Source organism: Homo sapiens, chromosome 9 (assembly GCF_000001405.40).
Source record: "Homo sapiens chromosome 9, GRCh38.p14 Primary Assembly".
Classification (NCBI taxonomy): Eukaryota; Metazoa; Chordata; class Mammalia; order Primates; family Hominidae; genus Homo; species Homo sapiens.
This window is the reverse complement of record NC_000009.12, coordinates 109,754,422-109,773,943: the sequence shown is the minus strand read 5'-3', so window position 1 is coordinate 109,773,943 and position 19,522 is coordinate 109,754,422. Positions and strand designations below refer to the sequence as shown.

The 19,522-nt window shown below is 41.5% G+C and overlaps 1 protein-coding gene and 1 long non-coding RNA gene across 2 annotated transcripts in view; one reads left to right on the top strand and one right to left on the bottom strand.

Annotated features, from left to right (window-relative positions):
• The window catches only part of PALM2AKAP2 (PALM2 and AKAP2 fusion), a 531,726-nt gene that overhangs the window by 398,569 nt on the left and 113,635 nt on the right, over positions 1-19,522 (bottom strand). The gene's annotated exons all lie outside the window — the stretch shown is intronic.
• PALM2AKAP2-AS1 (PALM2AKAP2 antisense RNA 1) lies at positions 1,673-13,589 on the top strand. Its single transcript, NR_171891.1, has 3 exons — positions 1,673-1,969; positions 8,384-8,531; positions 13,324-13,589. It is a non-coding gene; the product is annotated as a PALM2AKAP2 antisense RNA 1 (long non-coding RNA).

Genomic DNA, 19,522 nt, shown 5'->3' with positions numbered 1-19,522 from the left:
TGCTGTGCCTGCCTGACACCTTTGGGAATGACAGAGGTCTCAACTGCCCCTTGCACACCCTCCATATATTGACTAAATGGATCCTAGCCAGTCTCAAAAATTGCTCATTACTAATGTGTGACCCTCCCAGCCAGGGCCTCCCGGACAAACTGCCTTTCCCCAAAGCAGCTCATGGTAGAGTGGAATGAACATAAGACAAAGTATCAATCCTAGGTCCTAATCCTAACTCTGCCACTTGCTGTGTGACTTTGTACAAGTCACTTGCCTGCTCTGAACTGAGGTTCTCTATTTGTAAAATGGGAATAGGTTTTCCATCTGTAAACTGGGAACAGGGATAGCTAACTAGTCCCATTAGATTCTTATAAGTTTAAAGTTCGTGAATGAGAAAGTGCTCTGAGAACTACAAATGCTGTGAGAGTGAAGAACTACAGTGAAATAAAATACTTCAAAAGTAGGGCTTAGGGACATGCTGACTGGTTGGTGGGAAGATGTTTAGAAGGTGTTGCAGGCCAGGTGCAGTGACTCATGCCCACAATCCCAGCACTTTGGGAGGCTGAAGTGGGAGGATAGCTTGAGGCCAGGAGTTCAAGACCAGCCTGGGCAACATAGTGAGACCCTACCTCTACAAAAAAAAATTTAAATTAGCCAGGTGTGGCAGCATATGGTTGTAGTCCCACCTACTCAGGAGGCTGAGGCAGGAGGATCATTTAAACCCAGGAGGTCGAGGCTGCAGTGAATCATGATCGTGCCACTGCACTCCAACCTGGATGAGAGAATGAGAACCCCATATCAAAAAAAAAAGACTTTGCAACATTCTTTTTTTTTTGAGATGGAGTCTTGCTCTGTCACCCAGACTGGAGTGCAGTGGCACGATCTTGGCTCACTGCAAGCTCTGCCTTCCAGGTTCACGCCATTCTCCGGCCTTAGCCTCCCAAGTAGCTAGGACTACAGGCGCCCGCCACCACACCCGGCTAATTTTTTGTCTTTTTAGTAGAGATGGGGTTTCACCGTGTTAGCCAGGATGGTCTCCATCTCCTGACCTCGTGATCCGCCCGCTTCGGCCTCCCAAAGTGCTGGGATTACAGGCATGAACCACTACACCCGGCCCGACCTTGCAACATTCTATAGCCACTGTAGACTCAGTGCACCGGGAGAAAAGGTTGTGCTAACACATAAGATAAAATATGCTTTCAAGTTTTTGGAAGGGTTTCTAAGATGATCAAGCCAGTAAATGAAAATGCCAGCACCACCTGGGGCTCTCATTCACTCCTTGATGTTTCTCAGTCACTCCAGTGATTTCCCCTTCATGGGGTTTGAAGACCAACAGCCCCACATTCTGATCTACATATCTAATTAGCTTAAATACACGCAGAAAAGAGTGTAGCAGTCAGAGGATGAGATGGGAGAAACAGAGATAAGCAGAAGAGAAGGAAACAGAAAAACTTGGATCTTTTGTCAGTTGTGTGTGTGTGCCAAACCTATATTTGAATGCTGTTTGGTCTGTGTTTACTTTAATGTGTTCTTCTTTCTGCATTCATTCAGAGCTAAATTTATCCCACTAGAGAAGGCATACTTGGGGAGGTGGGGGTGGAAAAAGAACAGACACAAAGGCGGCTGCTTGACTGGGAGCCAGGAGCCTTGTGGAGTTCCCTGGAAGAAGACGGTGGTAGCCAGCACATGGAAGGTAGCCACTCCAGAGGCTCTGTGAGGACTCTGTGCAGACTTCACAAGGGAAGGTGTTTCCACAGGAGCCTCTGCGCCCTTCGCTTTTGAGAAGGAAGTGACCAGGAACAAGACTTTAGAACTTGTAAATTAGAAAAAGCAGTTCTATAACTCCCATGAGCTCCCAAATCTGGCCCAACCCTTCAGGAAATGAAGACTCAGCAGCTCTCTGGCCTCCCCAGGGAAAACAGTGTCTGTCCCCACGGAAAGAAGAAGGGCAGCTGGCAGGGCCACTTCTGCTGCAAAGGTGATCTTGCTTTCTATTGGAGGGTCATGCCAGTTGTTTATCTGCTGCGGTAATGCCTCTGGGGTGGGAGGGGAGGAGAGGGAGGTTGTTGCATTCCACCTTCTGGGTCGGATTAAGTATTGTGCCCCTAAAACTGGAGGTAGGATCATTAATGCTCCCTGGGCTGCGACCCAGGTGCCTCCTGTTGGTCCTTCATGATTTTCTTTCTTCCCACTCAGTTATCATCTTTCCTCCTCTAATGCCTTACTTCTCACTCCCCCAGAGTGAGCCCTTCTTACACTATTTTCTGTCAGTGGACAAGTCATTGAAATTGAGATAGCTTTTCCTGCGATCAGAGAGTTCTCTGTTAGAATTGAAGACCTTTCTGTAGAACAGGTAGTCAATTTCCATCTGGGACTCTGTCCATCATTATGAAACTTCCCTTCATTGATTTGGGGGAAGGGAGATTTCTAGGATTCTGGGATGGTTCTCCTTTGTTTTAGGCTCAGATAAGTCACCACAGCATCTTGCCAGAGTTTTACCCTGTATTTGGTGTCTAGTACCCTCCACTCCTCCCCAGAGAACTTGACACCTTCTTCATCTGTTCGTCCCATTCCAAATTTGGTGCTTTCTCATACCATGAGCTATGCTTGGAATGCAGCTCCCCCTCCTTCTTCTAACTTTCCAAGTCCCTTCTTGTTAACTTCACAGAGTTCCAGAAATCCCACCCCCTCTTGGTATGCTTGTCAGTCCCTTTGGGAAGGAAAAGGGGTTATCCCTCCTAATTCCAAACATAGCATGACTTGCAAATTGAATGCTCAACTTGCCACTCTTTCAGTTAATTCTAAAAATTATAAAGTCACAGCCTCGAAGGAGCTCTTGTCAGATTAATTGGTGTCCCATAAGCCACCATGATCATTGTTTGCATGTGATGAAGCTACTTAAGTTGGGAGGAAGCATAGATTGGACAAACCTGACCTTATCTTCCAGTTCTTACCACTTAATGACCTTGAGAATTGTACTTGACTTCTCTGAGTTTAAGCTATGCTGTCTGTAAAATGGGAAATACAATAGTATTCATTTCATAAGATTATTGTGACAAACAAATGAGATAATGTATACAAAGCTCCTGGCATATTGCAGATGCTCAATGAATTCTATTTTCTAATTATGAGCATAATCTTATCTGTTGACACCTGTATCCTTCTGGATGTTGACACCTATATCCTTCTAGATGTGTTTCTACATGCCTGTGTTCCAGTAAAAACTCCTGAGTGGCATGTTCAGCCCAGCACCAGTTGTGCCCAAGTGTACCCAAGATGGCCCTTCAGACTAGACCAGCATTTGCTCATGAATGTTCTTGACTGGTTGCTAACCTGGTCATTGCCTCTTACCTGTAAAATTTGCAATCCAAGGTCTTTTGATGCTGTACAAACCTTTTGTAACATTTTGACTATGCCAAATTCTGCATTTATTATCAGAGGTGGGAGACAAAAGTATAAAGTGTTCTACTGTGTGGTTTTTGGTACCATCCAGAACAGTGATTCTAAGCTTTAGGGGAGAAGAGTTCACAGAATCCTTTCAAGAATCTGGTAAGAACTATAGACTCCTTCTCAGAGCAGTGCACATGCATACAGCATTTTATGTATAGTTTCTGGGGTATCAGGAATTCCTTGAATTCTTCCAAGGACATTCTTAGAAGACTCATGGACTCCTGGTTAAAAAAAAAAATCTGCTCTGGGTCTTAGAATATCAGAGCAACTGAGAGGAACAAGAGAAAGTGGTTTATCTTCAAGACCCAGAAGCTCCTTTTGGGTATGAATGGAAGAGCACAAGAAGTCTGGCCAACTCCGACCCAGCCCAAGAGCTCCTCTGACCTAGCCAACCATTGGCTGTCTGAGCTCTGAGAGCTGCCCTTCTCTAGTTCTTTTCACTGTTGATGGCACAGAAAAGGCACAAATGCCAAGGAATCCCCTCTCTGGGCTTGGGTTACTGCCACTGTCTTTCTCCCAACCAAAGCTTCCTCTGACTCCATGTCTACCCAGCCTTTAGTTCTTCTAGGGAGAACAGCCTTCACCCGATCTCCCCGAGAAGGTACCTCCTTTGCATCTACATACAGTAGTTATCCTTTCAATCTATTCTTGCCTCCCAGGATAAGCTTGAAAGTGCTTTCTATTCTAGGTGGAAACAAAAACAAAAATAGATTTCAGGACCCCAAGTTGCAAATTCATTTAAATAAAACATAGCACTATGTTGAAACAGAATAATAAAACGGTTTGTCCACATCACCCTCAAACACTGTTAGGTCCATCTCATCAGGCACCTTCACAAATATCCTCCAATATTAAAAATCCACTTTCCAAAAGCCTGCCTGGCTTTTCCCCCCAACCACTGTTGGGTGAAGTCATTTTACTTCCAGTTTGGAAGTTCTAGCCAGAATCTGAGCTTAGTCCAAAACTATTGGACTCTGTGGCTTCCAAGGAAAACAGTCTGTCGCTGATTTAAAGACACTGTTAGGTTGGTGCAAGCCAAAACAAATGGAGCAGGCTTTTCATTAATAAGGAGGAAGCAGCCCTTCCAAGGTGGTGACTTAATAAAGCAAGTGACACATGGGCATCAGGTTTCAAACCCCAGCACCAGACAGACTCAAGATTTCACACTTGCCCTCTGAGCCAATAAAACCCTAAACTTGATAATCCCACTATTTAAAAACATTGTAACACCCCCAGCCCACAGAGGAAACGTTTATTTGCTAAGAATATGACCATTGGTGGGAAAAATAATGTGCATAGGTACACTTTTGCCATTTCACTTTCGTAGGAGTAAAAAACTAGTATTTTTATGGGTTCTTATAAGGCAGAAACAAACTAATGTCAGTAAAAACTACTATTTTTATGGGTTCTGATAAGGCAGAAACAAACTAATGCAAGTAAAAACTTGAAAGTTTCCAACAGTCTTTTTAAATTAAATAAAAGTATGAATAGAAGACTGGAGAGGATAGTCTTGAACTTAAGTTGTTTTTATATTTATTTATTATAAATAGAGATAGGGTCTCACTATGTTGCCCAGGCTGGTCTCAAACTCTTAGGTGCAAGCAATCCTCCCACCTTGGCCTCCTGAAGTGCTAGGATTATAGGCATGAGCCACCTTGCCTGGTCTATTTTTAAATTTAATACACACTTACATGGTGCTGACTATATTACTGAATTCATTCAAAGTGCTTTACATATATTAACTAATGTAAACCTCATATCAGCCTATGAGAGTAGCACTATTATTATCTGAATTTTACAGATGAGGTAACTGAGGCACAGAGTGCTTCCAGTCACACAGCTTCTAAGTGGCAGATGTAATAATATCAGGTGATGAGCTTACTGTTTGTAGTATGTGACTGTGTGGAACTACTTAAGTATCAGGAACATTTAGCAGTATTATTTAAAAAATTGCATATTTCAAAATAGCTAAAAGAGAGAACTTGAAATGTTCCCAACACATAAAAATCATAAAAGCTTGAGGTGCTGGATACCTCACATACCCTAACTTAATCATTACATATTTTATGCATGTAACAAAATATCACATAAATCCCATACATATGTACAAACATTATGTATCAATAAAAAATTTAAGAATAAAAAATATGCATTTGAAAGAGGCAAAAGGGATACTTTTTTTTTAAGTACTTGGACTGTCATCCTAAGGAATAAGGCCTCAGATAACAAACATTAAAAGGACAATCAACTGAGCTGACTCCCCCATCCTTCCTTCCTTCTTTCCTTCCTTCCTTTTTTCTCCCTGCCTGCCTGCTTTACTCCCTCCTGCCCTCCTACTTTCCTTCCTCCTTCCTTCTTTCCTTCCATTTCTTTCTTTCTTTCCTTCCTTTCTTCTTACCTTTCTTCCTGCCTGTCTTCCCTCCCTTCCTCCTTCCTTCACTGTTTTTCTTTCCTTCCTTCCCTCTTTTTCTTTCCTTCCTTCCTTTCTTCCTACCTACCTGCCTTTGCTCCCTCCTTCCTTCCTTCCTTTCTCCTTCCTTCTTTTCTCCCTCTCTCCCTCTTTTCCTTCCATCCCACCTTCCCTCCTTCCATCCTGCTAAATGTATTAGCCCACGCTTTGAACCAGGCATTGTCCCATGTGCTAGAGATCAGCTGCCTTTTTTCCACCTAGAATCCAGGGAAGGGAGAGAGACATTAAGAGTAGAGAAGTGCACACTGTAACTTAGGAATGCTCTGAAGCAAGCCAACACTAAGGGGAGAGAGTGGCATGGGGGTGATGGTTTAGGTATGGGAGGAGGAAGTGACAATCAGACAGCCCCGAATGAAGCCAGCGATGGAGTCATGTCAGGGCAGAGGGAGCGAGGGGAGGGGTTCAGGGAGAGGAGGCCAGAGGGTGGCCCCACCAGATCTCGGCCTTGGGAGGGGTTAAGCAAACTGCAAAGTAATGTATTTACATTTTAAAAGGTCACTCCAGCTGCCAGGGATGAGGCAGGGAAGAAGATGTAAGCAGGGAAACCAGCAAGATCCTGCAGGATTCATGTGAGAGACCTGCAAAATGGTGTGGTAGGGGTAGATGGGGCAACAGCCTCCAAAGATGCCCACGCCCTAATCCCTGGAACCTGTGAATGCATCATCTCCAATGGCAAAAGGGACTCCAAGGAAGTGGTATTAGGGTGGGCACAGGCCGGTGGGGCGGCCCTGATGGAACTAATGTTTGGACAAAGCCAGGAGACCTTCACTCTGGGGTTGGAGGGAGCAGTAGGAGGGGACAAAAATCCAAAGTCAGCTGAGGAGGGGCCAGAACACATGAGCAAGGGGAACATGGACCCCTAGGGTTCCAATCACAGCTTTGAAGCTTACAAGGTGAGTTTAAACTTGAGAAAATCACTGCATTTCTCTCACATCAGCTCTCTCAATCAGAAAATGAAATTAATAGTGCCTAACTCATATCGGTGTTTTGAGGGTAAAAGTAGATAATCCATGTAAATCCCCAGGCACAGTGTCTGGCAGGTACTAAGCACTCTCATAAATGCCAGTCAGCAGCATTCTCACAAATGGAGTCGGGGACAGTGGCTAACAGCACTGGCACTGCAAGGCTCTGGGTTCCAACGTCAGCTCCATATTTATTGGCATGGGGGAGCCCTGGGCAAGGTACTTAACCTCTCTGTGCCTCAATTTTATCCTGGGTAAACTGAGGACAATAATATCTACATTATGGGGTTCATGAGAAGGTCTGTGTTGGCTTTTATTATTCTGCTGATGAGGATGATAAATAATGCACAGATTCTTTATGAAATGAAAACCTAGAGGGTAGATTTACTACATCAGAGTCTTTGTAATCCGCTATTTAAATGACTCACTATTTCTGCCTTATCAACATGCAGCAAAAGGATGATGAGGTTAACATGAAATCCATGCACAATAAATAAAGATGCTGTCAGCTTTGCCTTAAGGGTGATTTCACAATGCTGTGAACTCTATGATGCACAACCAGGCAGTGAAGGCCTTGCTTTGAGGAAATCGCAATGAGTCTGCAAGAAGATGCAGAGCCAACCTTTGAGAATTAATAGCCTATGCCTGTCAGTCATTCCCATTTTAATCTTCTACCCCTCCCTTGCCCAGTCTAGCTGTGGGCCTCTGAGTCCCTACACCTGAACCACATTTAGGGTCAGGGACCTTGGCATTTAATGATGTTTGGAAAACACTCAAATCATTTGTGCCAAAAACAGGGGTGACAATACTATTCCCACTGGGCAGGGTCATTGACTCGGCAGTTTGACCTACACAAGTGGCCCTTTTATGGGCAAAACGTTGACCCTGAGCTCCACAATATAAAGAGCTAAGTGCTCAGTGCATAGCATGTCCTTAAGTGCTTTCCGAAAGGACTCCCCAGACAGTAGGGAAGGTAATGCATGTACACTTGACATATCTTATCAGAGAAGCCCAAGACAGCCTGCCTGCCTCTCCTCCCTGGGACATTAGTGAGGAGCTGGGGGAATTCCAGAAGGCAGGCATGTGACACTCTGCATATGACAGGCCTGGGTATAACCAGGAACCATGTGGCCTCCATCACAATTGGTCACTGGGTTGATACCAAGTCCCCGACCATGTTGTGCATTGCATCTCAGGCTCAGGAGGTTTTACTCATCCCCTAAAACCTGATGCCTCATACTGTGGTCTGTGACAGCAGCAGCAGCATTACCTGGAGCTTGTTTGAAATGCAGATTATCAACACCCTGAGACCTTCTGAATCAGAATCTGCATTTTTTACAAACTGCCCTAGTGATCTGTGCACAATTCAAGTTTGAGAAGCACAGATCAAGGCTGGGTCTCAACTGTGACTGCACATCAGACTTTTAAAGGCGGGTTGCTCTAAAATTATACCCTTACCCAATGCCCACTCCAGACTAACTATATCAGGATCTATTTGTAAATTTCTCAGGTGATTTTACTATGCAGCCACTATTAAAAACCACAGATGTCATTGATGATGATGATGATGATGATGATGATGATGATGATGATGATCATGATCATGATCATGATGATGGTGATCATGATGATGGTGATGAAGACGGCAATGACTGCAGGTAACATTACTGAGCACTTACATGTGCTGAACTCTTCTTACTAGTATTTAACTCATCACAATTCTGTGAAGAAGTACTAGCATTGTCTCCACTTAAGACATGAAAAATTAAGGAACTGCCTAAGGTCATATAGCACAGATGTGGCAGAGCCAGAATTTGCAATTTTAACCTCTTCACAAATCACTGAGCCTGCCTCAGACTGACTTCATCAGAATCTCTGGGGGTGGAGCTTAGGTGTCCACATTTTAAACTTATGGACCAGGTAAATCTAATTCATACTAAAGTGTAAGATGTGAGAACCACGTTTTATCCACTCCCAAAGGGGTTTCTTTATTTTAAGGCTTTAGACATTAAAAAGAATCAGAGCTATAATGAGTTTGCTCAGCAGTTACTTTTGGCATCATCTATGGGGCAGTTCAGATACATGGCTGTTCATTATTTATATGACAAAGATATGAATCCTGAGTATCCACATTCCTTCCTCACTAATAACTGCTCAGGTCTTCTCATCACAGATGGTCCTAGCTTTAGTCCAGGTTTCACCTTGTAGTTCCAAATGATTCCTGACTCAGAGTTTTCTTTTCTTTTTTTTAAAAAATATTCATCCCTTTATCCGTTCATTCATCTACCCATGCATCCATCTATCCATCCATCCCATCCCATCCATCCATCCGTCCATCCATCCATTCATCCATCCATCCACCAGTCATTCATCATTCAACACCTTCCACTACTGCACTGGCATCGGTGAGGCAGAGTTGAATAAGGTGCAACTCTCAAGGGGCAACAGAAACATTAATAGATCTTTGGGAATCAGTTGATACAGTTTGATGACAGGGGTGAGCTCAAGAATCAGTAAGGATAAGGAGGCAGTTCTTGGGATCTAGGGGAACTGCCAGAGAAGGGTCCAGGAAGGCATCTCAGAGGAGATGAAATAAGAACTGAACTTCAAGGATGCATAGGCTCTCAATGGGGGCTAGGGGGGAGGTAGTATATAGGCAGAGAGAACAAGCTGTGCAAAGGCCAGGAGGTGTAAAAGAGCGCAGTGTGTTTAGAGTTCTGGGAGACACCCTGTTTTGGAGAAGGATGTACAAGATGGAGGGGGGTGGGAGATGGCCCTGGGGAGATGAGATAAGCTCCAGGTTGGGTCTAGTTCAGCATGTCAGATGTTCCCCTGCAGGTGACAGGGAGCCACTTGAGGGTGTAAAAGAGGAAGATGTTTTGGAAAGCTCACTGGGGATACTTTACTGAGAATGGGTTGCTGTGTGAAGACTGCAGGCAAGGAGACTATTATAAGAGTATAGTCAAGAGACAATAGGAGCCTGAATTGAAAGTAATAACTATGATGACTGTACCTGGGTGAATAGTGGCTGTCCAAAAGATCTGTCCAAGTCCTACCCCTTGTACTTGTGAATGTGACTTCACTTAGAGTCTTTGCAGAAGTAATTTAGTTAAGGATATTGAGATAAATCATCCTGAATTTAAGGTGGGACCTAAACCCAATAACCAATGTCTTCATAAGAGAAAGAGATTTAAGACACACACACACACCCAGAGGGGAAGGCCACATGGAGACAGAGGCAGAGATTGGAGCAATGTGTCCATGAGCCAAGGACCTCCACCTACTTCCCTCCCACCCCACATTGAGGGCCTATGCATCTCTGAAATTCCAGCAGCTGCCAGAAGCTAGGAGAGAAGCAAGGACAGATTCTTCCTTAGAGCCTCCAGAAGGAACCAACCCTGCTGACACCTTGATTTCAGACTTCCCACTCCCAGAACTATGAGAGAGTGAATTTCTCTTGTTTTAAGCCACCCAGTGAGTGGTCATGTCTTACAGCATCCCTAGGAAACTAACATAGCTAAGAAACTAATATTAAGTACCCTGTGAATGCTTCACAGGTGTCAATTCATTTGGCACCCCAAACAGTTCCTAAACTGGATATGGTAGTATCATTCCCATCTTTCAGATGAAGAAACTGAGGCACAGAGAAGTTAGGTATTTGACCTAGGGTTGCAAAGCAAGTAGGAGGCAGGGCAGGGTCTTACCTACCGACAGTCTGGTAGTATAGCCCGTGGTCTCAGCTCTATGGAGATGGAGAGAAAAGGGCAGATTTGAGGAGGCGGGGAGGATGAATAGGGCCTGGCAATGGATGGTGGGCAGGAGGAGGCCAGCCTTCTGGGTTTCAGGCTTTTGTGGTCCCTCCGCCCTCTGAGTTTCCCTCAGCTTCTGTTTTTCATGCCACAGTGACCCCCGGGATATGTTAACCTGTCCAACTCTCTAGCCCTGCTTTTGGGACCTGCTTCTCAAGGAGTCCTTTGCTCTCTCCACTTATATCCTTGAAAAGGCTCTACCCTTATTGACTCCCTGAAAGTGCTGCCCTCTGGTCTCTCTTGGCTTCTCTGTCCACATAGGCATGTGCCTGGCTCTGATCATGTGGCCAGCTCTGGCCACATGGTCTTAACATCTTTGAGCTCTTTCCTGACCCTAAAATCCTAATGTTTACTCTGGTTTCTGTTCTCAGCATTCCCATCTCTTTCCTCCCCTCCACCCCCTGGGGAATGGGAAGGAGGGGCATTGAGATAAAAGGAGGGTAGGAAAGCCATGTCTGCCAAGGCAAAAAGTCACTTGTCTATGTCATTCTCCTATTTTCCTTTTTAAAATTTCCCATTATCTCAGCTCCAAGGCAAGAGACTTCTGAAAAGTATATAAAAGTAGCTTTTGCCCCTTTATAATAACTTAGGGTTTTTTTCCTGCCTCACAGTGAGTGACTTACATTGGCCTGGGTTGCAATGACAAAGCACAAAGGCTGCTGTATTAATGCCACTTCCATGTGGACATTGCCATTTCAAGACATTGCCAGCTCCAATAATCCCTTCTGTGGGTCTGGGGTGGCAATTCAGTGAGGATAATCGATCAATTAATTTAAAGGTGAATATCTATACTGCCCTACACATCTAGATTAATAAAGACTTTTCTTATACTCTAGGATGGAATTTCATTGGAAAGTTCCAGGGTGTTAAATAGACAAATATTTAAATTAAAAGTGGAAACTTAGACCTAGAATCCAGGTGTCACTAGTCTTCCACTGATCAAAGTTTATTGCCAAAAGAGGAGCCATTTTGGAGACATAATTATGTAAAAAGAAAATGAGAAATTCAAAAGATCAAAAACTTCCCAGGGACCTAAAACACTTTGAAGACCTCTTTGGGAACTACATAGGTTTATATGAAACAATACCATTAAAAAAAAAAAAATTCTGTCCTTCTAGATCCTTGAGGAATCGCCACACTGTCTTCCACAATGGTTGAATTAATTTACACTCCCACCAACAGTGTAAAAGCATTCCTATTTTTCCACAGCCTCTCCAGCATCTGTTGTTTCCTGACTTTTTAATGATTGCCATTCTAACTGGCATGAGATGGTATCTCATTGTGGTTTTGACTCGCATTTCTCTAATGACCAGTGATGATGAGCTTTTTTTCATATGTTTGTTGACAGCATAAATGTCTTCTATCTCATTACTGGGTATATACCCAAAGGATTATAAATCATTCTCCTATAAAGATACATGCACATGTATGTTTATTGCAGCACTATTTACAATAGCAAAGACTTGGAACCAACAAAAATGCCCATCAATGATAGACTGGATAAAGAAAATGTGGCACATATACACCATGGAATACTATGCAGCCATAAAAAAGAATGAGTTCATGTCCTTTGCAGGGATATGGATGAAACTGGAAACCATCATTCTCAGCAAACTAATACAGGAACAGAAAACCAAACACGGCATGTTCCACTCATAAGTGGGAGGTGAACAATGAGAACACGTGGACACACGGAGGTGAACATCACACACCAGGGCCTGTTGGGGGTGGGGGACAAGGGGAGGGAGAGTATTAGGACAAATACCTAATGTATGCAGGGCTTAAAACCTAGATGATAGGTTGATTGGTGCAGCAAACCACCATGGCACATGTACACCTGTGTAACAAACCTGCACATTCTGCACATGTATCCCGAAACTTAAAGTAAAATTGAAAAAAAAATTCTATCCTTGTTTCAGACATTACAACAATCCACAAAGTAATAGATACTGTTATAATTCCTGACCTATTCATCTGCCTTCAAACATTCAGGTTGGTTTTAGGAAAGCAATAATATTATTTTGGATGGAATTTTCCACATACCCTGTTGGTTTGTCAGCATCTTAAAATGCCATAAGATTAGATTTTCTTTTCATTTTAAAACCATTTTATGTATAGCCTGTTTTTCATTCAAATAGATCACTTTATGTTTGATCATTACTCCACTGGTCTAGATGAAGAACATAAGAAATGATTAGCTGAAGGTTACCTCTGGAGTGGTCCTTAATGAACATAAACCATATTCTTTATTCAAATGACAGACAATCCAAAAGGTGGTACTCAGTCACACGCCTTCAATGCATGTGTTGGGATAATGTGCCCTGACACAAAGTTACAGGAATTGAGAAATCATTTGTGTTTTACTTTGAGTAAAAAAGGAAACTTTAAAAAATGAGAAAAAAAATGCAACAGTTGAAAAAAACTCCCAGGGAGCTCTTGGGGAGGAAAATTGAGTGCATTTGTACTCTAAGGATCTGAAGGACAGATACTTGTTTCGTGAGTTCATTTAACAATATTTAATGAACACCTCTTATACAGTGGGCTAACACAGTGCTAGTTTCTGGGTTTACAATGGTGAGTGAAAGCGAGAAGCTCTTCCTTCCAGAGCTGACAGCTCTTCTCGTTAACTCTCTCTTACTAGAATTTGGGGAAGAGGAAGCCTGAAGGAGTCCACAAAACAATGTCCTTCAAATCAGAGTTTATTCAATGCTGATTTTTCATTTTTCTATGGTTCTGTTTGGGGACAAGTCAGTCAAATAACTTGAACCTCAGCGTCCTCATCTGCAGAATGGGAATAATAACAGTTTGTAAAGTTATCGTGAAGATGACACAAAATGCTGGAGACGTTGGACGTGCTCTATAGAAAATAATTTCTAAACAATAAAGAATATTATAATAAACATTAAACTTTCCTTCTGTGTTTTTCTCAATTTCTGTTCTCCCTCCCTTTTCCTCTTTGTTCCTTCCTTTTGACCACTGCCTAACTACTGGCATGATTTTGGTGAGCAAGTCTGCTTAACCTAAATTCCACAAAGCAATGAGTAAATTATTTCCCGTGTTTAATTTTAAAGTACTGCGGTTTAGAGTAAAAATAGACACAAAATGCTACAGGATGCATGATTCTTTTCATACAACATTCTGGAATAGGCAAAACTATAGGGGCAAAAATCGAATCAGTGATCAATAGGGGCTGAGGGTGAAGAGGGTGGCTTGACAACAGAAGTACCAAGAGAACACTGTGGTGACGGAAATGTTCTGTATCTTCATTTTGGAGGTAATTATATGCATGTATACATTTGTCAAAACACGTTGAACTGTACATTTGAAAAGAGTGAATTTTGCCATATATAAATTACACCACAATAACCTTACTTCAAAAAAGAATACTTTGCCTTGGGACCTTTGAGCCTTTCATTAGGAAAAATCTATGATCAGTATAGGAAATTGGCAGTGCTCCTGGAAATACTCATGTACATAACTAACTATAATAAAAGACAGAGATTGATAATTTCCCTAAGAGAGGTACAAAGTTCTCTGGGAATTCAGAGGCAAGAGAAACAACATCCGTCCAGAGAAACCAAGAAATATTTCATGGAGGAGGACGCATTTAAAATGGGCCTAAAAGATTACAATTAATCACTGGTTGGTTTTTGTTGTTGTTGCTGTTGTTGTTGTTGTTTGTTTGCTTCTCTACTGTCACCAATATCTTAGATTCTAGCACCTGTTTATAAATTGCTTGCAAAATTTGTTACAGGTTTGATTATTTTTCTAATTCTAAAAGGTCTTATATTATGATGGATGCATTTGCTGGAGACTAAATGATTCACACTATCTTGCACCTTAAAGAATCACCGTTTTGATGCCATGTTTTCTGAGTTTGTGGTGATTCTGGAATTGATTAATTTTTACATGTACACTTACAAAACATTCTACCATTCTATGAAATGAAGAAATGTGCAATGAAGAAATGAGGATACATCACATCTAAGTGTAAGAGGCTGGGAATAGGGTTCCAAAAATCTGGGTTCTATAATGCATAAATGACTCCATACATCAAGAACAAAAAGATTCACACCCCAAAAGAAGAGAAGGGAAAACTATACCAACAGACAGGTCAGGAGAGAAAATACACTGGCTCTCAAACTATGAAAAGATGTTCTATTTCAATATAACTAGTGAAAAAGTTACTTCTCTTTCTATTAATTAGTAAGCAAAAAGACCAATAGCTCAGTTTTTTAAGAAAATGAGCAAAGGAACGAAATAGCTCACAGAATAGAAAATACAAATAGCTTGAAACACAAGAAAAGATGCTTAAACATACTCATAATAAGAGAAAGGCAAATGAAAGCTGCACTATCTCACATTATACCCCACAAATAGGTACAACTATCATGAGTCAATTAAAAACAAATGAACAAAAGAGCCAACATGAGACTCAAATTGTAGGAAAGAATAGAGGAAGGGCAGAATCTGATCCCCACCCTTTTACTTTATCTTTCTAAATCTTTAAATGAGAATACATGTTAAAGCTGGGAGAAGCTGAGATTTCATTAAACAGCAAATGTACACAGTGGATGATTAGGTCACTTATAGAAATAAACTACCACTTCTTTGCACATCTGGATAGGACTGTGAGAAAATTTCCAATTCCACTGCAAAAAATAATACAAATACATTATTATTTAAAGAAATATTTGTCTTTACATTGACACACACACACACACACACACAAACTGCACTCTCTTGTATGCATTGGGCTGGCAAAATGTACCAAGTTTGCTAGCAGTGTTAATGATGATATAAGAAAATCAGCTAATAACGGAACAACCTTTATAGAGAACCATTTGGCAATGTCTATTAAAATTACAAATGTACTTTGACCCAGCAATCCCACTTCCACAAATTTTATCCTACAGATGACCCATGCTCAAAATGATATGAGAACAACATTATTCACTGTCGTACTATTTCTAATAGCAAATGAATGTCCATCCATAGGGTTAAAAGAGTTGTTGTATATCATACAATAGTACACAACTTCTCTTTAAGACAGGATGGAAAAACTCTTCATGCACTGATGGGGAGCAAGCATGAAGATATATTATAAATCAAAAAGTCAAAATGCAGAATAGTGTGCAGTATGTTAGTATTTAGGTTAAAAAGGGGAGTGATTGGAGAATGTATGGCTGTATTTGCTTGTATATACTTGGACTATCCCTGGAAAGATATGCCACCAACTGGTATTAGGGTTTGTTTATGGGAACTCTCAGTGGGGTTGGGAGGGGGTTAGGATGGGTAAAGCAGTTTTTGTGGATATAAATTTTGAATTTTGGGCCATGAGAATATATTACCTTCTTGAAAGTAAAGAAAAAATGAAATAGATAAATCAATGAAATACATAAAAAGTTACATAGATAAATCAATGAAAAAAAGAGAAATCTGGGATCTATCCCTTTTCTATCACTAAGTCTTATGACCATAGACAAGCCTATACATTTTTGGTGAACCTTGGCATGTTTTGCTGTAAATGATGAAGTTGATCTCTAAGATCTAGTAAGCTGTCGAAGACCTCGTGTTGGTTTTCTTGAGGGCTGAATTGGGAAGTGAACATGGATTCTCTCTTCATGATCAATGCACACAACTGTACATATTGCGGACTATCAAACTCTGGGGCACCATTTATATAACTTGCTATGTGATAGACACTCCTTGGAGTTGTGCAATGCACAGCTTGAACTTCTGTATGGGGCAGACCTGCCTCTCTCTTTGCCTTTGGATTTTTTCACAAAGGACTTTGTGACCATAGGAGACTTTTAGTGGTGGAAACCGATGGTTACTTCATAAGTGGTAAGGGCACCAGGCATCAAAGGCTTTTATTTCAAACAAGGTTATTATATATTAAACCACGCATTGGTATGAAAGAAGGAGATACAGTATGGGATTCTTACAAAGTATTCTTTGCCACTAAATGTTCTCTTGAAGCAATGTGATGGAACTGGAGGTTATTATGTTAAGTAAAATTATCCAGGCACAGAAAGGCATATCTTGCATTTTCTCACTCATACGTGGGAGCTAAAAAAGTTAATCTCATGGAGGTAGAGATTAGAATGATGGTTACTAGAAGCTGGGAAGGGTGTGTATGAGGGTAGGTGGGGATAAAGAGTGGTTGGCGAATAGGCGCAAACATACAGATAGATAGAACACGTTATGTTCAATAGCAGAATAGGTCACTTATGGTTAACAGCAATGTATTGTATATTTCAAAATAGCTAGAAAGAGGACTTGAAATGTTCCCAAAACATAGAAACTATAAATGCTTGAGGTGATAGACTTCTTAAATACCCAGATTTGATCATTAGGTTTTCTATACATGTACTCAAAATATCACATGTGCCCTATAAATATGTACTCATCAAAAAAAATTAAAGATGGTCAGAATTACTAAAAGCTAACCATGCATAAAACAATCTCAAGTGATTCAAAGCAATCAGTATATGATAAATCTTGAAATTCCAACTGGTGGTGAAATAATGGGATATCCAGTAAAGTGCATAGAGTATCTGGTTAACTTCTGGGGAGAAATTAACTACAGTTTGAATCCATATCCCACAACTGGCACTCAGATAAACTCCACATGGATTAGAGAGCTAAGCATAAAAAGTAAACACCTAATTTCAGGGTGAAAAGTGACTTTTGGGTGTAAAAGGAACAGGACATATCCTAAAAGAACAAACTGATAAAATTGGCCAAAAGCCAATGAACATGTCTATAAAAGATAGCACCACAATCAAAATCAAAAGGCAAACAACAAAATAGGAAAACATATCCACAACATCTGTATGTAACAGATCAACAGTTCAGCCCTTATGAATCAATAAGAAAAAAGATGAAGATTAATAGTAGAACATGGGTCCAATCACACATTCACATACAAATAAATACCTATGGCAAACAGACACGAGAGAAATGTTCATTTCACAGATATCCAAAGAAACACAAAATGTGACGCTGTTATTTTGACTATCAAAGTGGGCAGGATTTCAAAAGCAATCACACTCAGCATTAGTGAAGGTTTGAGGAACAGACTTACATACTGTTGGTATCTGTATGTATATAAATGGTGCAAGTCTTCTGGTGAACCATTTGGTGATGTGAATCAAAAGTGTTATAACTATATATACCCATTGATTTAGGTGATTCTGCCCCTTGGAATATCAGTAATGAACATAACTAGAGATGGGAACAAGGGTTTATGTATAAGGAAGCTCATCAAACCATCATGTGCAGTGATGAAAAATCAAAATGAATCTGCATGCTTATCATGGTACATCTCTGTGATAAAAGATTGTGCTGCCATTTTTACAGTTTTTCACCAAGTATGTATTGATGATGATTACTCTGTGCAAAAGCACTGTTCCAGGGGTTTTGAAGTCTTCATCAGGTTTACATTCTAGCAAGGCTCTCCTCACATATAATAAATAAATAAATAAATATTTAATGTTACATAGTCATGAGGGCATTATGGAAAAGTTAAGCAGTGTAAAGGGATACTAAGGGGGTGGAGGTGGGGGCTGGGGACTATTTTATTTTGCTTTTCTATTTTTTGTTTTGAGAGACAAGGTTTCACTCTGTTGCTCAGGCTGGAGTGCAGTGGCATGATCATAGCTCACTGCAGCCTGAAATTTCTGGGTTCAAATGATCTTCCCACCTTACAAGTACCAGCGACCACACCTGGCTGTGGGCTGTTTTCAATAGAGTTGTCAGGAAATATGTTCCTATACTCAAATGACAAGGTGTGCGCCATGCAAAGATGAGGGAGAAGAGGTTTCAGGCAGAGGGAACAATGAGACCAATAGTCTAGGATGGTAACCAGCTGGACACATTACAGAAAGAGTCTGAAGGCCACTGTGGCTGGAACAACATGAATGGAGGGGGAGTGGTGGGAGGTGAGGAAAGAGGAACTGGCAGGACCAGTTATAAAGAGCCTTGTTGGTCAGGATAAGGAATTTGGATTTCAGTTGAATGAGAAGCTGTTGGAGGAGTGTGAGCAGGGAAGTGGCATTTTCTGGTTTACATTTTAAAAATACTTGTGGCTGCTACGTATGTGGGAGTGGGGATGGGTGAGTGAGAGAGGAAGCAGGGAAACCAGGTAGAAGGCCAATGAATTTGTGCAGCTAAGAGGTGATGGTGGCTTAGACTCGGGTGGCAGAGGTGGAGGTTCTAAGGAGCCCTTGGTGTTGGCAGGAGAGTCAGCAGAACTTGCTTATACACAGGCTATAGGGCAAGAGGAACTAGAGGCAGCAATGATGACTAGGTTTGGAGTCTGTGCAACTGGTTGGATAGTGGTGCCATTTATTAGGATGGTGCTATGGCCTGAATGTTGTGTTCCCCAACATTCGTATGTGGAAACCCTAATCCCTAATGTAATGGTATTTGGAGTTGAGGCCTTCGGGGAGTAATTGGGTTGTGAGGGTGGAGCCCTCATGATGAGATTAGTGCCCATATAAGAAGAGACACAAGAGAGCTTGCTTCTCCTCTCAGTTATGTGAGAATGCAGCCAGAAGGCCATCTGCCAACTAGGAAGAGAACCCTCACCAAGCTGGCACCCTGATCTAGGACTTCCCAGCCTCCACAACTGTGAGAAATGAATTTCTGTTGTCTCAGAAATCTCAGTCTATAGCAATTTGTTGTAGCAGCCCAAACTGACTAAGACAGATGGGAAGGAGGAAGTCAATGACAAAATGCAAGATAAATAAGTTCTAGAGATCTGCCATAGAACACTGTGACTATAATTAACAACACTGTATACTACGCTTAATCTGTGAAGAGGGCAGATCTCC